The sequence below is a fragment of the Homo sapiens genome, chromosome 13 (assembly GCF_000001405.40).
Source record: "Homo sapiens chromosome 13, GRCh38.p14 Primary Assembly".
NCBI classification, from domain to species: domain Eukaryota; kingdom Metazoa; phylum Chordata; class Mammalia; order Primates; family Hominidae; genus Homo; species Homo sapiens.
In genome coordinates this window covers 90,659,038-90,676,765 of record NC_000013.11, presented here as the reverse complement: position 1 = coordinate 90,676,765, position 17,728 = coordinate 90,659,038, and the positions used below count along the sequence as shown (strand labels likewise).

Sequence of the window (17,728 nt, the reverse complement as noted above, 5' to 3'; positions counted from 1 at the left end):
TGACTGCACCATATTTTAAAAAAATAGGATCTACCCCTGTCTACCTAATACGGTTAGATAGAATTTTCCCTCAAAATGTAAAAGCCTTATTGTTACCACTTTCCCTGAGGGTATCAGATCAGATAAAGAACTAAAAGACAAAACAAACCTTACAATATTCCTACTACCACCTAGAGTTGTAAAGAGAGTGTATATACAATATTTACATATTTGGGTAAAAATGCTTGTAAAATTCTGAAAATACAAAGAATACAGCTGCCAAATGATGACTATAACAAGAAATTTCCTAAAAGATTAACACCGTTCTTATTTTTATGCTTTGTATTATCATTGCTAAGTTTTTTTCATTGTCTTTTAATTTTTTTCTAGTCAAAGCTAGCTGTGCAGCTTTCCATTTTCATTTGAAAGTTTAAAGCCTCAAAACTGTCCAATTTCTTGTTTGAAGGCAAGACAGTTTTGTACTTGAAATCTATAATTTAAGCTTCCAACAGACTGCAGGCAATAAACATGCTATTCTCTTCCCTGAACTCTCTGCCCTGAATTTGGCTTCAGAAAATTAAGTTTGTCAGTGATGGAGACTGCCCAATGAACTTTAAAGTAGTATTTCTTTCAGGCAACTTTGAGTGCCTAAGAGAAAATCAGACCCCTGCTTCCTCCCCTACCCTCTTGCTGGGTTTCCAAAAAGTCCCACTGTGTCATTCTGAATCGAAACCATTGCTATCCTTCTAATAGGCTCTTGTCCTTTGACCCACTCTAGTTAGTTACACAGTGAGAAGCATTATGAGGTACTATCTTAGAATTTCAAATATAAGCATGAACTTGCTAAATGCCTATGTACCTTTAAGTACACATGAAAGCCCTTGGGCTATGCTCATTTCCAAAACTACACATCAAGTTTGCTAGCGCAAGTTAAGCCTAAAATGGTGATTTCCTTCAGGCAATTATTTGAGTATTCCGTATCCTGAATAAATAATGACAAATTGCAGCACTTTCAAAATTAGAATTGAGTTTATTTTACAGGGACATCGTTAAAGCCAATCATGGGATGGTATTAAATGATACTTTACAAAAGCCATCAAGCGTGTCTTTTGGAAGGATTATGACTTATATTGTTTGTATGTGCTCATTGTATTCTTTCAGTATCTACTGTGATAATAAATTTCTAAAACTAAAATGTTATTGTTTCATTATAGGAAGTCAAAATATATGTTATTACTTAACTTAGTAGTATTTACTTAATAGGTAAGTATTATTGAAAAACTCTTAAGCAGCCTGCAAATGTAAGCAAAGTGCAGTTTTTCTCAGGTCCTTTAACTTGGCATTCCAGTTGCCATGTGACTGTCATAATATTCACACAGTTATCAGACAATGGTTGTGCTGGTATATTCTCCATGTCTAGAGAGCTAAGAGAAATTTCTTGCTACTAAACCAGCAGAAACCACAGCCACTGTAATCTGAGATTCAATTAGTCTGCTGCCACATCTTTCTATGGCAAGACAGGCACACAGATCTCTAAATAGCATACGCTGCTGCACGGAAGGTAGTGTATAGCATTTAAATGTCCCCTACTATATGGACTGAAAAATTATGGCCAAGAGAGTGTTAGATTAAGCTATTTCTTAGGTTTAGAATAGTAAGAGAGTAAGCATTTTCTCTATGCAGAATTTGAAGATAGGATGTAAAATAAACCTTTAGCAATCTTTTCATCAATCTGTTCTTCAGAGACAACAAAATGTCTGTTTCTAAAATAAGAGGCATTGGGGCCAGGAGTGGTGGCTCATGCCTGTAATCCCAGCACTTCTGGGAGGCCGAGGCGGGTGGATCACCTGAGGTCAGGAGTTAGAGACCATACTGGACAACATGGTAAAACCTTGTCTCTACCAAAAGTACAAAAATTAGCCAGGCGTGGTGCTGGGTGCCTGTAATCCCAGCTACTTGGGAGGCTGTGGCAGGAGAATCCCTTGGACCCGGGAGGCGGAGGTTGCAGTGAGCTGAGACTGCACCATTGCACTCCAGCCTGGTCAACAACAGCAAAACTCCATCTCAAAAAACATAAAATAGACATTGGAAGCAGTATTGACTATTTTATGTTTAAGGTGTATTTTTGAAGAGTGTTGCAGTAGTTGAGGAAAAAGAGAGAGAAACATAAAAGTAGTTTTCATACTTAAATTTCTGTTTGTTACCTACTCATTAAAAGCTCTCCTGAAAGAACACCTTCCTATAAAATTTTAGTTCCAGAATCTATGAGGCACTTTATAAAAACAGCCAACTAGACCTCTGACATCAAAGCTTTTATCCTGCCTTTTTAGTTTTGTTAAAATGCTAAAAATTAAAAAGACTGGCATTTATCACCTTTATGTTTTAAAAAGAAATGAAATACTTGAAATTCTGGACGCTAATACTTTTGAAACTTTGCATGCTTTGCCCTGGCAATGTTCATGTATTCCTAATGATGGTGAGGCATTGCGGGTCAGTTACATACGGAGGAAGAAAGTCTTTGTCTGGAAGACTTTTCCAGCAGATGAGATTTAGCATCATTATTTCTGAAATATGACCTTCCCCAGCAGCATCTCTAATTATGCTCCCAAATTAGAACAAATACAGTCTGAAGACTAGACTTATCATTATGACTTACAGTGTTCAGTTTCATAGAAAAGTGAGCATTAATTGCAGCAAAAAAAAAGCATTAAAATTGTGGTATTGGAAAAGGAAGTCTTTTTAATGTAGTCATTCCTCTTGTTAGTAAATAATAGTGGCAGTAATTATGGACCATATGCTGGCCAAGCTCTTAAACAGACTTGGAAAAAAATCTGTCACTGTCAGCACTGTGGGCCTTGGTTACTTGGTTATGTCCTTGCTAGTATCAAGAGAGTGAGTGTGAACAAAAGTCATCTGTAGAAGCAGAACATGCGCTTAATAAATTTCAAGCTGCTGAATAGCCTCTCCAAGCAGCTCTTTCTAAAAAGTAAATGAAGGACACTGTCACCAAATTAATTATTTATGTGTATCTATCTTATTTTATAAATTGGCAGTCCTTGGCAGCATACATTTGAAAGGAAATGAATATTAATACCAGATGACATCACACAAACTGGCTCTTTACAAACTCTTTCCATATTAGCCCATAGAATTTTGTGGTCTTTTTTATTCTGGATGCTTTTATATATTTTTTCCTTTTCTTTAAACCTTGCCTACTTTTTAAACCTCCATAATTCCAAATGTTCTTTTTAAATACATCAATTTACTATTATTTTCTATTATTTAAATAATTTGTATACCATATATATGAATTTATCTTCATATATAAATTTATATGAATTGATCCAGATTATTTACATTTTAGGGAAAAATCTGTATCATAAAAACAGTCTCCTCTTTAGAGGAGACTGGCCTTCTGATTGCTACTGGTGCAGAGCCATGACCTTCTTGGACTGGGGCAGTGTTCAGAGTATTTCATTCATCATTTTGATACATATCACTCATTTTTCAGAGGCAGATAGGTGATTTCCCTTATGGCACTCTTTTTGGTTTTTTTGTGTAGTGGTTTTCAAAATAAAATAAATGTGCTCAGCTACTAATAATGACACCTGATAACACTTACAACTTACTGTATTCTAGCATATTTATTCATTAAATCTTCACAACAACCCTATGAGGTAGATATTACAGCTATCATCATTTTTCATATGGGGGAACTGAGAAACAAGAAAGGTAAACATTTGTCAAAGGTTGGGAAGCCAGTAAGAGACTGGTTCCTAAACCACCTGTGCTGATATCCCTCATACCATCCAAGTCACATCTTGCGTGTCTCTCTTACTCCCTCCTTATTTTAGGCTAAACTGTCTTCCTGCCCTTACTTTATGACAATTTCCCATGAGTCTTTTAGTCATAATTAGCAAACAAGCTCATGCTGGCTGTCGTTCTTGAGCCACTCAATGTTAGAGCCCTTGTTAATGGCTCTGCTGTGTGGCAGAGACTCTGCTGGACACAGGGCATATGGGCGTAAGTTAAAGACACATGGTCCTTGAACTCCTAGGACCTTGTCTAAAAGCTGTGCATCACAGCTTGTCAGCTTTATCTACCACATAGCAGAATCAGTTGGGAAGCTTTTAGGTATTTCTAAGCCCCAGACCACAACTGAGAATAATGAAGTCTGAATCTCTAGGGGTGGGATCTTGACAGTAGAATTTTATAAAGATCTCTGATCATTTCATGGGCAACCAAGGGTGAGAACCACTAGCTTCCAGTCTATCAGTAAGGCAGATAATAAAATATAATCACAGGAAAACTATATAAGTACAAAATGGGATATGAGCTACGAAAGGTAGGAACAAGTGTGAGGAGAGAGTCTATAATAGTTTTGAGATGGATGTCAAAGGAAGATTTCTCCAGAGAAGCATCAATTAAGCTAACGCCAAAATAATGAACAGAATCGAGTAAGATGAAGTCACTCTCATGAGCATTCTCGGAATTAGGAAACATGTGGAGGCCCTGCTGTGTTCCAAGAACAGACAAGGGCATCGTTGCTGAAGTACAATGCGCAAAGTGTCAGGTCATGTGAAACACAACTGGATGAGGATTGACGGTGCTTGTTATAGTCTCTGGCATAGAGTTGGTGCACAAGGCATTTTTTTTTTTTTTTGGTAAAATGAGGTAAAGGATATCCTGTAGTGTCTCTCCTCTGACACTTTTAAATAATTCTTTGCTTTCCTATAAACTTTGTGAGTAAGTTTGTCCTTCTGCACGCTAAGGAAGGCATAAGCTCAGCTGGGTTTACTCAGTTTTCCTAGGGCAATAGTCCCTTTGATTGTGGCATTTCACTGGCTCTACTTTCCAGTGAGCACCGAAGAGGTATCACAATGGGTCCAGGAAAGAGAGAGATGTTACAGCAGCTTGGGGCAGCCTGAGAGGCCATATGGGAAATGGTTGGGGGTTGGAATCAGAACCTCCTGTGGACTCCTGACTCTGTTCTACATTGAGTCTTCTTAAGCATCATCTCTATTTATAATTCCTTTCTTCTTGGCAATAGCCATCAGTCTTATTGCTTGATTCTGATATTGCAGTCACTGCCCTCTATCCTTACAAAAATGCCATTTTCTACTAAAATCTTACATTCTCACTCCAGAGTTTGCCCCAACTAGCTGACTTGGGCAGCCTTGAATTACTTTTGATCACCCAGTCATGTACTTAGATATTCTCAGCCTCCACCTCACCTTGTTACCTTGTGGCAGCAGATATAATTTCTTATGAACAGCAGGGTCATATTGCAGAAAATACTGGCATCTTAAAATGGTCTACATCTTAGGCTCTAAGGTATGACAGACAATTACAAGTCGCCTTAACGTAGTATCTCCTTAAATTCATTGGTATACATAATGTGGAAGAATCATTTAAAAATTAAGTACTATAATTTTTATTTTAAATTATAAGTTTATTTCTTGCTATCACATAAATATACATAATACATGTAACTATGTGTGTATATGGATATATAATATATAAATATGTACATCTATACAGTAGGGAGAAGAATTCAGCATTTATAAAGAATTATGTTTTTTGATTAATTTACTTTGACACAATTGTACATATTTATGGGGTACAGTGTGATGTTTCAATGCATGTATGCACTGTATAATGATCAAATCAGGGAAATTATCATATCTATCCCTTTAAACATTGATTTTTTTTCTTTGTGGTGATAACATTAACCATCTTCTCTTCTAGCTCCCTTGTAATAAAACCTACATTGTTATTAGCTGTAGTCACCTGACTACACAATAGATCACCAGAACTGCCGGGCACCATGGCTCACACCGACAATCCCAGCACTTTTGGGGGCAGAGGTGGGAGGATCACTTGAGCCCAGGAGTTTGAGACCAACCTGGACAACATAGTAAGAACTCGTCTACAAAAAAGTCAAAGCATCAAAACCACAGCCGGGAAAGTTGGCACATACCTGTAGTCCCAGTTACTTGGGAGGCTAAGGTGGGAGGATCTCTTGAGCTCAGGAAGCCAAGGCTGCAGTGGGCTATAATTGTGCCACTGCACTCCAGCCTGGGTGGCAGAGCAAGACCCTGTCTCAAAAAAAATAAAAAAATAAAATTAAAATATATAGAACACTAGAACTTATTCCTTCTACTAACTGTAATTATGTACCTGTTGAGCAACCTCTCTTCATTGGCCCTGCTCCCTTCCCCTGCCTAGCCCATGATAACCACGATTCTGCTATTTCTATGAAATGGACTTTTAAAAATTCTTCGTGTTTGTCTTTTTGCCTGGCTTATGTCACTTAACATAATATTTTTGATGATATGACCAATTAAGTTTTGATTTTCAAATTATTAAGCAGAAAGGAGTCAAGCATCATGTCCAGAAAACAAATGTGGAACTGACATAAAGTTCAGTGCACTTCCAGAGATTTTTTTTTTTTTTTGCACCAATGTATTCAGAAAGCTGGAACCCAGTGAGCAGTATCCACCCTCTTTTGTACTCTCACCTGCTTTGCTCCTTTCTAGACAGAATGTCTTGTTAGCCAAACGTTACTGTATCTGGGGGGTGGAACTTCTGGGGCATGAACTCTACAAACACTAGAAAGATACATAATGACCGGGTTTTGAACATTTAGAAAAGACTTCAGAACTCTGGTGAGAAGCTTTGAGAGGGCCATCCTTTATGTCCTGCAGGCTTTTTTTTTCCCCCCAGCTAATTATTGGATTTCTATTTTTATTTATTTATTTATTTATTTATTTATTTATTATTTTTTTATTATTATACTTTAAGTTTTAGGGTACATGTGCACAATGGGCAGGTTACTTACATATGTATACATGTGCCATGCTGGTGTGCTGCACCCACTAACTCGTCATCTAGCATTAGGTATATCTCCCAATGCTATCCCTCCGCCCTCCACTCACCCCACAACAGTCCCCAGAGTGTGATGTTCCCCTTCCTGTGTCCATGTGTTCTCATTGTTCAATTCCCACCTATGAGTGACAATATGCGGTGCTTGGTTTTTTGTTCTTGCGATAGTTTACTGAGAATGATGATTTCCAATTTCATCCATGTCCCTACAAAGGACATGAAGTCATCCTTTTTTATGTCTGCATAGTATTCCATGGTGTATATGTGCCACATTTTCTTAATCCAGTCTATCATTGTTGGACATTTGGGTTGGTTCCAAGTCTTTGCTATGGTGAATAGTGCCGCAATAAACATACGTGTGCATGTGTCTTTATAGCAGCATGATTTATAGTCCTTTGGGTATATACCCAGTAATGGGATGGCTGGGTCAAATGGTGTTTCTAGTTCTAGATCCCTGAGGAATCGCCACACTGACTTCCACAATGGTTGAACTAGTTTACAGTCCCACCAACAGTGTAAAAGTATTCCTATTTCTCCACATCCTCTCCAGCACCTGTTGTTTCCTGACTTTTTAATGATCGCCATTCTAACTGGTGTGAGATGGTATCTCATTGTGGTTTTGATTTGCATTTCTCTGATGGCCAGTGATGGTGAGCATTTTCTCATGTGTTTTTTGGCTGCATAAATGTCTTCTTTTGAGAAGTGTCTGTTCATGTCCTTCACCCACTTTTTGATGGGGTTGTTTGTTTTTTTCTTGTAAATTTGTTGGAGTTCATTGTAGATTCTGGATATTAGCCCTTTGTCAGATGAGTAGGTTGCGAAAATTTTCTCCCATTTTGTAGGTTGCCTGTTCACTCTGATGGTAGTTTCTTTTGCTGTGCAGAAGCTCTTTAGTTTAATTAGATCCGATTTGTCAATTTTGTCTTTTGTTGCCATTGCTTTTGGTGTTTTAGACATGAAGTCCTTGCCCATGCCTATGTCCTGAATGGTAAAGCCTAGGTTTTCTTGTAGGGCTTTTATGGTTTTAGGTCTAACGTTTAAGTCTTTAATCCATCTTGAATTGATTTTTGTATAAGGTGTAAGGAAGGGATCCAGTTTCAGCTTTCTACATATGGCTAGCCAGTTTTCCCAGCACCATTTATTAAGTAGGGAATCCTTTCCCCATTGCTTGTTTTTCTCAGGTTTGTCAAAGATCAGATAGTTGTAGATATGCGGCATTATTTCTGAGGGCTCTGTTCTGTTTCATTGATCTATATCTCTGTTTTGGTACCAGTACCATGCTGTTTTGGTTACTGTAGCCTTGTAGTATAGTTTGAAGTCAGGTAGTGTGATGCTTCCAGCTTTGTTCTTTTGGCTTAGGATTGACTTGGCGATGCGGGCTCTTTTTTGGTTCCATATGAACTTTAAAGTAGTTTTTTCCAATTCTGTGAAGAAAGTCATTGGTAGCTTGATGGGGATGGCATTGAATCTGTAAATTACCTTGGGCAGTATGGCCATTTTCACGATATTGATTCCTCCTACCCATGAGCATGGAATGTTCTTCCATTTGTTTGTATCCTCTTTTATTTCCTTGAGCAGTGGTTTGTAGCTCTCCTTGAAGAGGTCTTTCACATCCCTTGTAAGTTGGATTCCTAGGTATTTTATTCTCTTTGAAGCAATTGTGAATGGGAGTTCACTCATGATTTGGCTCTCTGTTTGTTGTTAGTGTATAAGAATGCTTGTGATTTTTGTACATTGATTTTGTATCCTGAGACTTTGCTGAAGTTGCTTATCAGCTTAAGGAGATTTTGGGCTGAGACAATGGGGTTTTCTAGATATCCAATCATGTCGTCTGCAAACGGACAATTTGACTTCCTCTTTTCCTAATTGAATACCCTTTATTTCCTTCTCCTGCCTAATTGACCTGGCCAGAACTTCCAACACTATGTTGAATAGGAGTGGTGAGAGAGGGCATCCCTATCTTGTGCCAGTTTTCAAAGGGAATGCTTCCAGTTTTTGCCCATTCAGTATGATACCGGCTGTGGGTTTTTCATAGATAGCTCTTATTATTTTGAAATACGTCCCATCAATACCTAATTTATTGAGAGTTTTTAGCATGAAGGGCTGTTGAATTTTGTCAAAGGCCTTTTCTGCATCTATTGAGATAATCATGTGGTTTTTGTCTTTGGCTCTGTTTATATGCTGGATTACATTTATTGATTTGCGTATATTGAACCAGCCTTGCATCCCAGGGATGAGGCCCACTTGATCATGGTGGATAAGCTTTTTGATGTGCTGCTGGATTCGTTTTGCCAGTATTTTATTGAGGATTTTTGCATGAATGTTCATCAAGGATATTGGTCTAAAATTCTCTTTTTTGGTTGTGTCTCTGCCCGGCTTTGGTATCAGGATGATGCTGGCCTCATAAAATGAGTTAGGGAGGATTGCCTCTTTTTCTATTGATTGGATTAGTTTCAGAAGGAGTGGTACCAGTTCCTCCTTGTACCTCTGGTAGAATTCAGCTGTGAATCCATCTGGTCCTGGACTCTTTTTGGTTGGTAAGCTATTGATTATTGCCACAATTTCAGATCTGTTATTGGTCTATTCAGAGATTCAACTTCTTCCTGGTTTAGTCTTGGGAGAGTGTATGTGTCGAGGAATTTATCCATTTCTTCTAGATTTTCTAGTTTATTTGCGTAGAGGTGTTTGTAGTATTCTCTGATGGTAGTTTGTATTTCTGTGGGATCGGTGGTGATATCCCCTTTTTCGTTTTTTGTTGCATCTATTTGATTCTTCTCTCTTTTTTTCTTTATTAGTCTTGCTAGCGGTCTATCAATTTTGTTGATCCTTTCAAAAAACCAGCTCCTGGATTCATTAATTTTTTGAAGGGTTTTTTGTGTCTCTATTTCCTTCAGTTCTGCTCTGATTTTAGTTATTTCTTGCCTTCTGCTAGCTTTTGAATGTGTTTGCTCTTGCTTTTCTAGTTCTTTTAATTGTGATGTTAGGGTGTTAATTTTGGATCTTTCCTGCTTTCTCTTGTGGGCATTTAGTGCTATAAATTTCCCTCTACACACTGCTTTGAATGAGTCCCAGAGATTCTGGTATGTTGTGTCTTTGTCCTTGTTGGTTTCAAAGAACATCTTTATTTCTGCCTTCATTTCATTATGTACCCAGTTGTCATTCAGGAGCAGGTTGTTCAGTTTCCATGTAGTTGAGCGGTTTTGAGTGAGATTCTTAATCCTGAGTTCTAGTTTGATTGCACTGTGGTCTGAGAGATAGTTTGTTATAATTTCTGTTCTTTTACATTTGCTGAGGAGAGCTTTACTTCCAACTATGTGGTCAATTTTGGAATAGGTGTGGTGTGGTGCTGAAAAAAATGTATATTCTGTTGATTTGGGGTGGAGAGTTCTATAGATGTCTATTAGGTCCACTTGGTGCAGAGCTGAGTTCAATTCCTGGGTATCCTTGTTGACTTTCTGTCTTGTTGATCTGTCTAATGTTGACAGTGGGGTGTTATAGTCTCCCATTATTAATGTGTGGGAGTCTAAGTCTCTTTGTAGGTCACTCAGGACTTGCTTTATGAATCTGGGTGCTCCTGTATTGGGTGCATATATATTTAGGATAGTTAGCTCTTCTTGTTGAATTGATCCCTTTACCATTATGTAATGGCCTTCTTTGTCTCTTTTGATCTTTGTTGGTTTAAAGTCTGTTTTATCAGAGACTAGGATTGCAACCCCTGCCTTTTTTTGTTTTCCATTTGCTTCGTAGATCTTCCTCCATCCTTTTATTTTGAGCCTATGTGTCTCTGCATGTGAGATGGGTTTCCTGAATACAGCACACTGATGGGTCTTGACTCTTTATCCAATTTGCCAGTCTGTGTCTTTCAATTGGAGCACTTAGTTCATTTACATTTAAAGTTAATATTGTTATGTGTGAATTTGATCCTGTCATTATGATGTTAGCTGGTTATTTTGCTCGTTAGTTGATGCAGTTTCTTCCTAGTCTCAATGGTCTTTACATTTTGGCATGATTTTGCAGTGGCTGGTACTGGTTGTTCCTTTCCATGTTTAGCACTTCCTTCAGGAGCTCTTTTAGGGCAGGCCTGGTGGTGACAAAATCTCTCAGCATTTGCTTGTCTGTAAAGGATTTTATTTCTCCTTCACTTATGAAGCTTCGTTTGGCTGTATATGAAATTCAGGGTTGAAAATTATTTTCTTTAAGAATGTTGAATATTGGCCCCCACTCTCTTCTGGCTTGTAGAGTTTCTGCCGAGAGATCCGCTGTTAGTCTGATGGGCTTCCCTTTGAGGGTAACCCGACCTTTCTCTCTGGCTGCCCTTAACATTTTTTTCCTTCATTTCAACTTTGGTGAATCTGACAATCATGTGTCTTGGAGGTGCTCTTCTCAAGGAGTATCTTTGTGGCGTTCTCTGTATTTCCTGAATCTGAATGTTGGCCTGCCTTGCTAGATTGGGGAAGTTCTCCTGGATAATATCCTGCAGAGTGTTTTCCAACTTGGTTCCATTCTCCCCGTCACTTTCAGGTACACCAATCAGACGTAGATTTGGTCTTTTCACATAGTCCCATATTTCTTGGAGGCTTTGCTCATTTCTTTTTATTCTTTTTTCTCTAAACTTCCCTTCTCGCTTCATTTCATTCATTTCATCTTCCATCACTGATACCCTTTCTTCCAGTTGATCGCATCAGCTCCTGAGGCTTCTGCATTCTTCATGTAGTTCTCGAGCCTTGGTTTTCAGCTCCATCAGCTCCTTTAAGCACTTCTCTGTATTGGTTATTCTAGTTATACATTCTTCTAAATTTTTTTCAAAGTTTTCAACTTCTTTGCCTTTGGTTTGAATGTCCTCCCATAGCTCGGAGTAATTTGATCGTCTGAAGCCTTCTTCTCTCAGCTCGTCAAAGTCATTCTCCGTCCAGCTTTGTTCCGTTGCTGGTGAGGAACTGCGTTCCTTTGGAGGAGGAGAGGCGCTCTGCCTTTTAGAGTTTCCAGTTTTTCTGCTCTGTTTTTTCCCCATCTTTGTGGTTTTATCTACTTTTGGTCTTTGATGGTGGTGATGTACAGATGGGTTTTTGGTGTGGATGTCCTTTCTGTTTGTTGGTTTTCCTTCTAACAGACAGGACCCTCAGCTGCAGGTCTGTTGGAGTACCCGGCCGTGTGAGGTGTCAGTCTGCCCCTGCTGGGGGGTGCCTCCCAGTTAGGCTGCTCGGGAGTCAGGGGTCAGGGACCCACTTGAGGAGGCAGTCTGCCTGTTCTCAGATCTCCAGCTGCGTGCTGGGAGAACCACTGCTCTCTTCCAAGCTGTCAGACAAGGACATTTAAGTCTGCAGAGGTTACTGCTGTCTTTTTGTTTGTCTGTGCCCTGCCCCCAGAGGTGGAGCCTACAGAGGCAGGCAGGCCTCCTTGAGCTGTGGTGGGCTCCACCCAGTTCGAGCTTCCAGGCTGCTTTGTTTACCTAAGCAAGCCTGACCCAATGGCGGGCGCCCCTCCCCCAGCCTTGCTGCCGCTTTGCCCTTTGATCTCAGACTGCTGTGCTAGCAATCAGCGAGACTCCATGGGCGTAGGACCCTCCGAGCCACGTGCGGGATATAATCTCCTGGTGCACCGTGTTTTAAGCCCATCGGAAAAGCGCAGTATTCGGGTGGGAGTGACCCGATTTTCCAGGTGCCATCCATTACCCCTTTCTTTGACTAGGAAAGGGAACTCCCTGACCCCTTGCGCTTCCCGAGTGAGGCAATGCCTTGCCCTGCTTCGGCTCGCACATGGTGCGCGCACCCACTGACCTGCGCCCACTGTCTGGCACTCCCTAGTGAGATGAACCCGGTACCTCAGATGGAAATGCAGAAATCACCCGTCTTCTGCGTCGCTCACGCTGGGAGCTGTAGACCGGAGCTGTTCCTATTCGGCCATCTTGGCTCCTCCCCCCGTCCTGCAGGCTTTTGCATGGAAAACATGTTCTCTAACCTTCTCCCTCCTTTCTTGCTCATTTTAATCCATGGTGTCTTCTGTTGGGAAAGTGCTTTAGATCATGGCCAGTGACATCTTTCAGGGCTTTCAAAGGTCCTAAGCAAAAAGACATAGGATGATTCTTTTATCAGATTGAATATAAGAAATTGCCATTTATGTTTGGCCACAAGGGTCAGATAACAGTTTCATAAATTTCAATTTACTGATAGCAAATTAAGGAAATATGGAGTTCTTAAAATTTTCTCCTGGGTTTTGTGATCCCAGTCACCAACACTCAAGTAGAATTCAGAACATAATTTCTACGTATAATGATGGTACAATTGACCAGGACCTCTCAGATTCTAGTGTGCATCTTAAGATCTTGAGGATGCTAAAAAGTCAGGATAAAATTACTGATCCACAATCACACTGTTGCCTTTTTTATTCATATATCAGCATTCATAAGTTAGTTGATGAGTTCTGGTCTAATTAAGGCAAGAACCTGAAAAAAAGCAATGAAGTAACCGAAGCAGGAAGGCAAAGGGCTAAAAATTCACAAAGGTGGCCAGGTGCAGTGGCTCACTCCTGTAATCCCAGCACTTTGGAAGGCCGAGGCGGGTGGATCAATAGGTCAGGAGATCAAGACCACCCTGGCTAACACAGTGAAACCCCATCTCTACTAAAAATACAAAAAATTAGCCAAGCATGGGGGCACACACCTGTAATCCCAGCCAGTCAGGAGGCTGAGGCAGGAGAATAACTTGAACCCAGGAGGCAGAGATTGCAGTGAGCCAAGATCATGCCACTGCACTCCAGCCTGGGTGACAGAGTGATACTCCATCCAAAAAAAAAAAATCACAAAGGTGCAGGTGTGATGACAACTGTGCTTCTTCAGTGCCCTTACAATGGTGCCATGAAATTTACTAAGCTCACCTGAGCAAAGATGAGGACCCTTTGCAAAGATCTTTTATATTTTTATTTTTTTCCCAGAAAAAGTAAAGATCTATCTTCTATACTCATATAGTAAATAACAGTTCAAGAAAAAATTTGGGTTTTGTTAAGTGTTTACAATGTAAGTTTTCTTAGGGGTGTTACTTGTTTAGAATTAAGGTTAACATGTACTTATTCAATTCTCATGCTGGCCCTTTGAAATTGGTATCATTGTCTTTATATTAGCAATAACATAATAAGACACAGACACAGATTAAGTTGGCTAAAACATGCAGAGAGAAGCCATTATTTTTTTCTGATTCTAACTGTATGATCTTTCTATTTTTACCAGTCTAATATTTCTAGAACAGTGCCTGGAACTAAGAGCCATTTGACATACATTTACTAGTGTTAGTCTGCTATCCAGAATTATTTTAAAGATAATTTGTTTGAACATTATGCAAGTGATTCAGAAGTACTGAACTTAATGTATCTTATTTATTTTAGCAGATATTACAACTTTTTCTTAATTTTAAAAGTTTTTTTCTTTAAAAACGAGACATTATTATTTAAAAAATCTTTTAACTGGCCGGCGCGGTGGCTCACACCTATAATCCCAGCACTTTGGGAGGCCGAGGCAGGCGGATCACCTGAGGTCAGGAGTTCGAGAACAGCCTGGCCAACACGGACAAACCCTGTCCCTACTAAAAATACAAAAACTAGCTGGCATGGTGGTGCATGCCTGTAATCCCCGCTACCCAGGAGGCTAAGGCAGGAGAATCGCTTGAACCTGGGAGGCGGAGGTTGCAGTGAGCCGAGATTGCGCTGCTACACTCTAGCCTGGGCAACAGAGAAAGACTCTGTCTCACAAAATTAAAAAAATAAAATAAAATAAAATAAAAATATTTTAACTATAATGAAAGAGTTGCGCTTTATTTTGTCATATTTCATGAATATTACTCATATATTTTTTGCTTTCACTTTTAAACCTTTTAAAGTTAGAATCCATGTGCAGAGCATTTCAATATTCAGCAAATATAAAAGTCAGTTTAGAGAGTAACATTTTAGATAATCCAAAAATAGTCTGTGATGTCCCAATATAGAAAATATAAATAAGTTCATCTTTAACATAATGTGAGTTTCCTGTTTTAACATTTAATGCCACTCTTAAGTTGGAAATACACAGATACTTTTTACAATCCTTAGAAAAACGTTTATCCCAATGATCATGTGTTATATGAGTTGCATTAATGTGAGTATTCTGCCAAACTATTGTCAAAAAATTAAGAATTTGCTTAAATTTTGAGATTTGATATTTCTTTCTAGAAATTTTTAGCTAAAATTTTGTTTATTTATTTATTTATTTTTATATTTTTGAGACACCGTCTCGCTCTGTCACCCAGGTGGGAGTGCAGTGGTGCAAACAAAGCTCACTGCAGCCTTGGCCTCAGGTTGGTCTAAAACTCCTGGACTCAAGCAGTCTTCCCACCTCAGCCTCCCAAAAGATTGGGATTACAAGTGTGAGACACTGTGCCTGGCCAAACTTTTTTCAATCTTTTTTTTCCCCTTCAATTTTTAAGTTCAGGGGTGCATGTGGAGGATGTGCAGGTTTGTTACATAGGTAAATATGTGCCATGGTGGTTTGCTGCACAGATTATTCCATCACCCAAGTATTAAGCCCAGAATCCATTAGCTATTCTTTCTGATGCTCTCCCTCCCACAACACCCCTCACAACAGGCCCCAGTGTGCACTGTTACCCACCATGTATCCATGTGTTCTCTTCATTCAGTTCACACTTATAAGTGAGAACATGCAGGGTTGGTTTGCTGTTTCTGTATTAGTTTGCTGAGGATAATGGCTTCCCACTGCATCCATGTCCCTGCAAAGGACTTGATCTCATTCCTTTTTATGGCTGCATAGTAATCTATGGTGTATGTGTACCATATTTTCTTTATAGTCTATCATTGATGGGCATTTAGGTTGATTCCATAACTTTACCATTGTGAATAATGCTGCAATGAAGATACATGTCCATGTATCTTCAGAACAGAATGGTTTATATTCCTTTGGGTATATATGGGATTACTGCATCAAATGGCATTTCTGCCTCTAGGTCTTTGAGGAATCACCACACTGTCTTCCGCACTGGTTGAACTAATTAACACTCCCACCAACAGTGTAAAAATGTTCCTTTTTCTCCACAACCTTGACAGCATCTGTTGTTTTTTTGACCTTTTACTAATAGCCATTCTGACTGATGTGAGATGGTGTCTCATTGTGGTTTTGATTTGTATTTCTCTATCAGTGATGTTGAGATTTTTTTCTATCGTTGTTGACCATATGTATGTCTTCTGTCCTTTTCCCACTTTTTCATGAGGTTATGTATTTTCTTGTATATTTGTTTAAGTTCCTTGTAGACTCTGGATATTAGACCTTTGTCAGATTAATAGATTGCAAAAATGTTCTTCCATTCTGTAGGTTCTCTATTCACTCTGATGATAGTTTATTTTGCCATGCAGAAGCTTTTTAGTTTAATGAGATCTCATTTGTCAATTTTTGCTTTTGTTGCAATTGTATTTGGCATTTTTGCCATAAAGTATTTTGCCCGTGCCTATGTCCTAAATGGTATTGCCTAGATTTTCTTCTAGGGTTTTTATAGCTTTGAGTTTTAAATTTAAGTATTTAATCCATCTTGAGTTAATTTTTGTATATGATGTAAGAAAGTGGTCCAGTTTTAATTTTCTACATATGGCTAGCCAGTTCTCTCATGATCATTTATTAAATAGGGAATCCTTTCCCCATTGCCTGTTTTTTTCAGGTTTGTCAAAGATCAGATGGTTATAAGTGTATGTCCTTATTTCTGAGATCTCTAGTCTGTTCCATTGGTCTATGTGTCTGTTTTTGTACTGGTACCATGCTGTTTTGGTTACTGTATCCTTGTAGTATAGTTTGAAGTTGGGTAGCATGATGCCTCCAGCTTTGTGTTTTTTTTTGCTTAGGATTGTCTTGGCTATTTGGACTCTTTTTTGATTCCACATAAATTTTAAAATAGTTTTTTCTAATTCTGTAAGGATTAAACTATTAGAAAATAGTTTAATGGGGATACCATTGAATATATAAATTACTTTGGGCAGTATGGCCATTGTCATGATATTGATTCTTCCCAGCCATGAGCATGGAATGTTTTTCGATTTGCTTGCGTCCTCTCTGATTTCTTTCAGTACTGGCTTGTAGTTCTCCTGGAAGAGGTCCTTCACTTCCCTTTTAAGCTGCATTCCTAGGTATTTTATTTTTTTACAGAAATTATGAATGGGAGTTCATTCATGATTTGGCTCTCTGCTTGCCTTTTGTTAGTGTATAGAAATGCTAGCAATTTTTGCACATTGATCACTGTTTTTTAATTGATTCTTTCTCATCTTTGTGGTTTTATCTACCTTCTTTGAGGTGGCTCATCTTCGAATGAGGTTTTATGGGGTCTTTTTTGTTGTGTTATTGTTATTGTTTTATGTGTGTTTATTTTTAATAGTCAGGCCACTCTACTGGAGGGATGCTGTGGTTTGCTGGGAGTCTGCTCCAGACCCCAGTTGCCTTGGTTTTCCCTGAACCTGGAGGTATCACCAGTGAAGTCTGTCAAACAGCAAAGATGGCAGCCAGCTCTCTTTCCTCTGGAAGCTCCTTCCCAGGGTCATACTGACATGTTTCTGGCCTGAACACACCTGTAGGAGGTGACTGGAGACGCCTGTTGTCAGATGTCACCCAGTCAGGAGGAACGGATTAGGGACTCACTTAAAGAAGCAGAAAGGTTATTTTTTGGTAGAGTAGGTGTGCTGTGTTGGGAGGCACTCTTTTTCATCCAAACCATTTGTATTCCTCAAAGCCAACAGGCTGGAACAGCTGAGTGCACCAAACCTCAGAGATTGTGGCCACCCCCTAGCCCTGCCCCTGGGAGCTTCGTCCTAGGGAGAGATCAGAGTTCTACCTGTAGAACCCTGG

At 39.2% G+C, this 17,728-nt stretch overlaps 1 annotated feature.

Annotated features, from left to right (window-relative positions):
* Positions 12,390-12,891: an enhancer, noted in NCBI's record as "H3K4me1 hESC enhancer chr13:91316129-91316630 (GRCh37/hg19 assembly coordinates)". NCBI's record gives its function as "activates a minimal SCP1, AML or CMV promoter by ChIP-STARR-seq in naive H9 embryonic stem cells {active_cell/tissue: H9 hESC(naive)}" and the evidence as "EXISTENCE:reporter gene assay evidence [ECO:0000049][PMID:30033119]".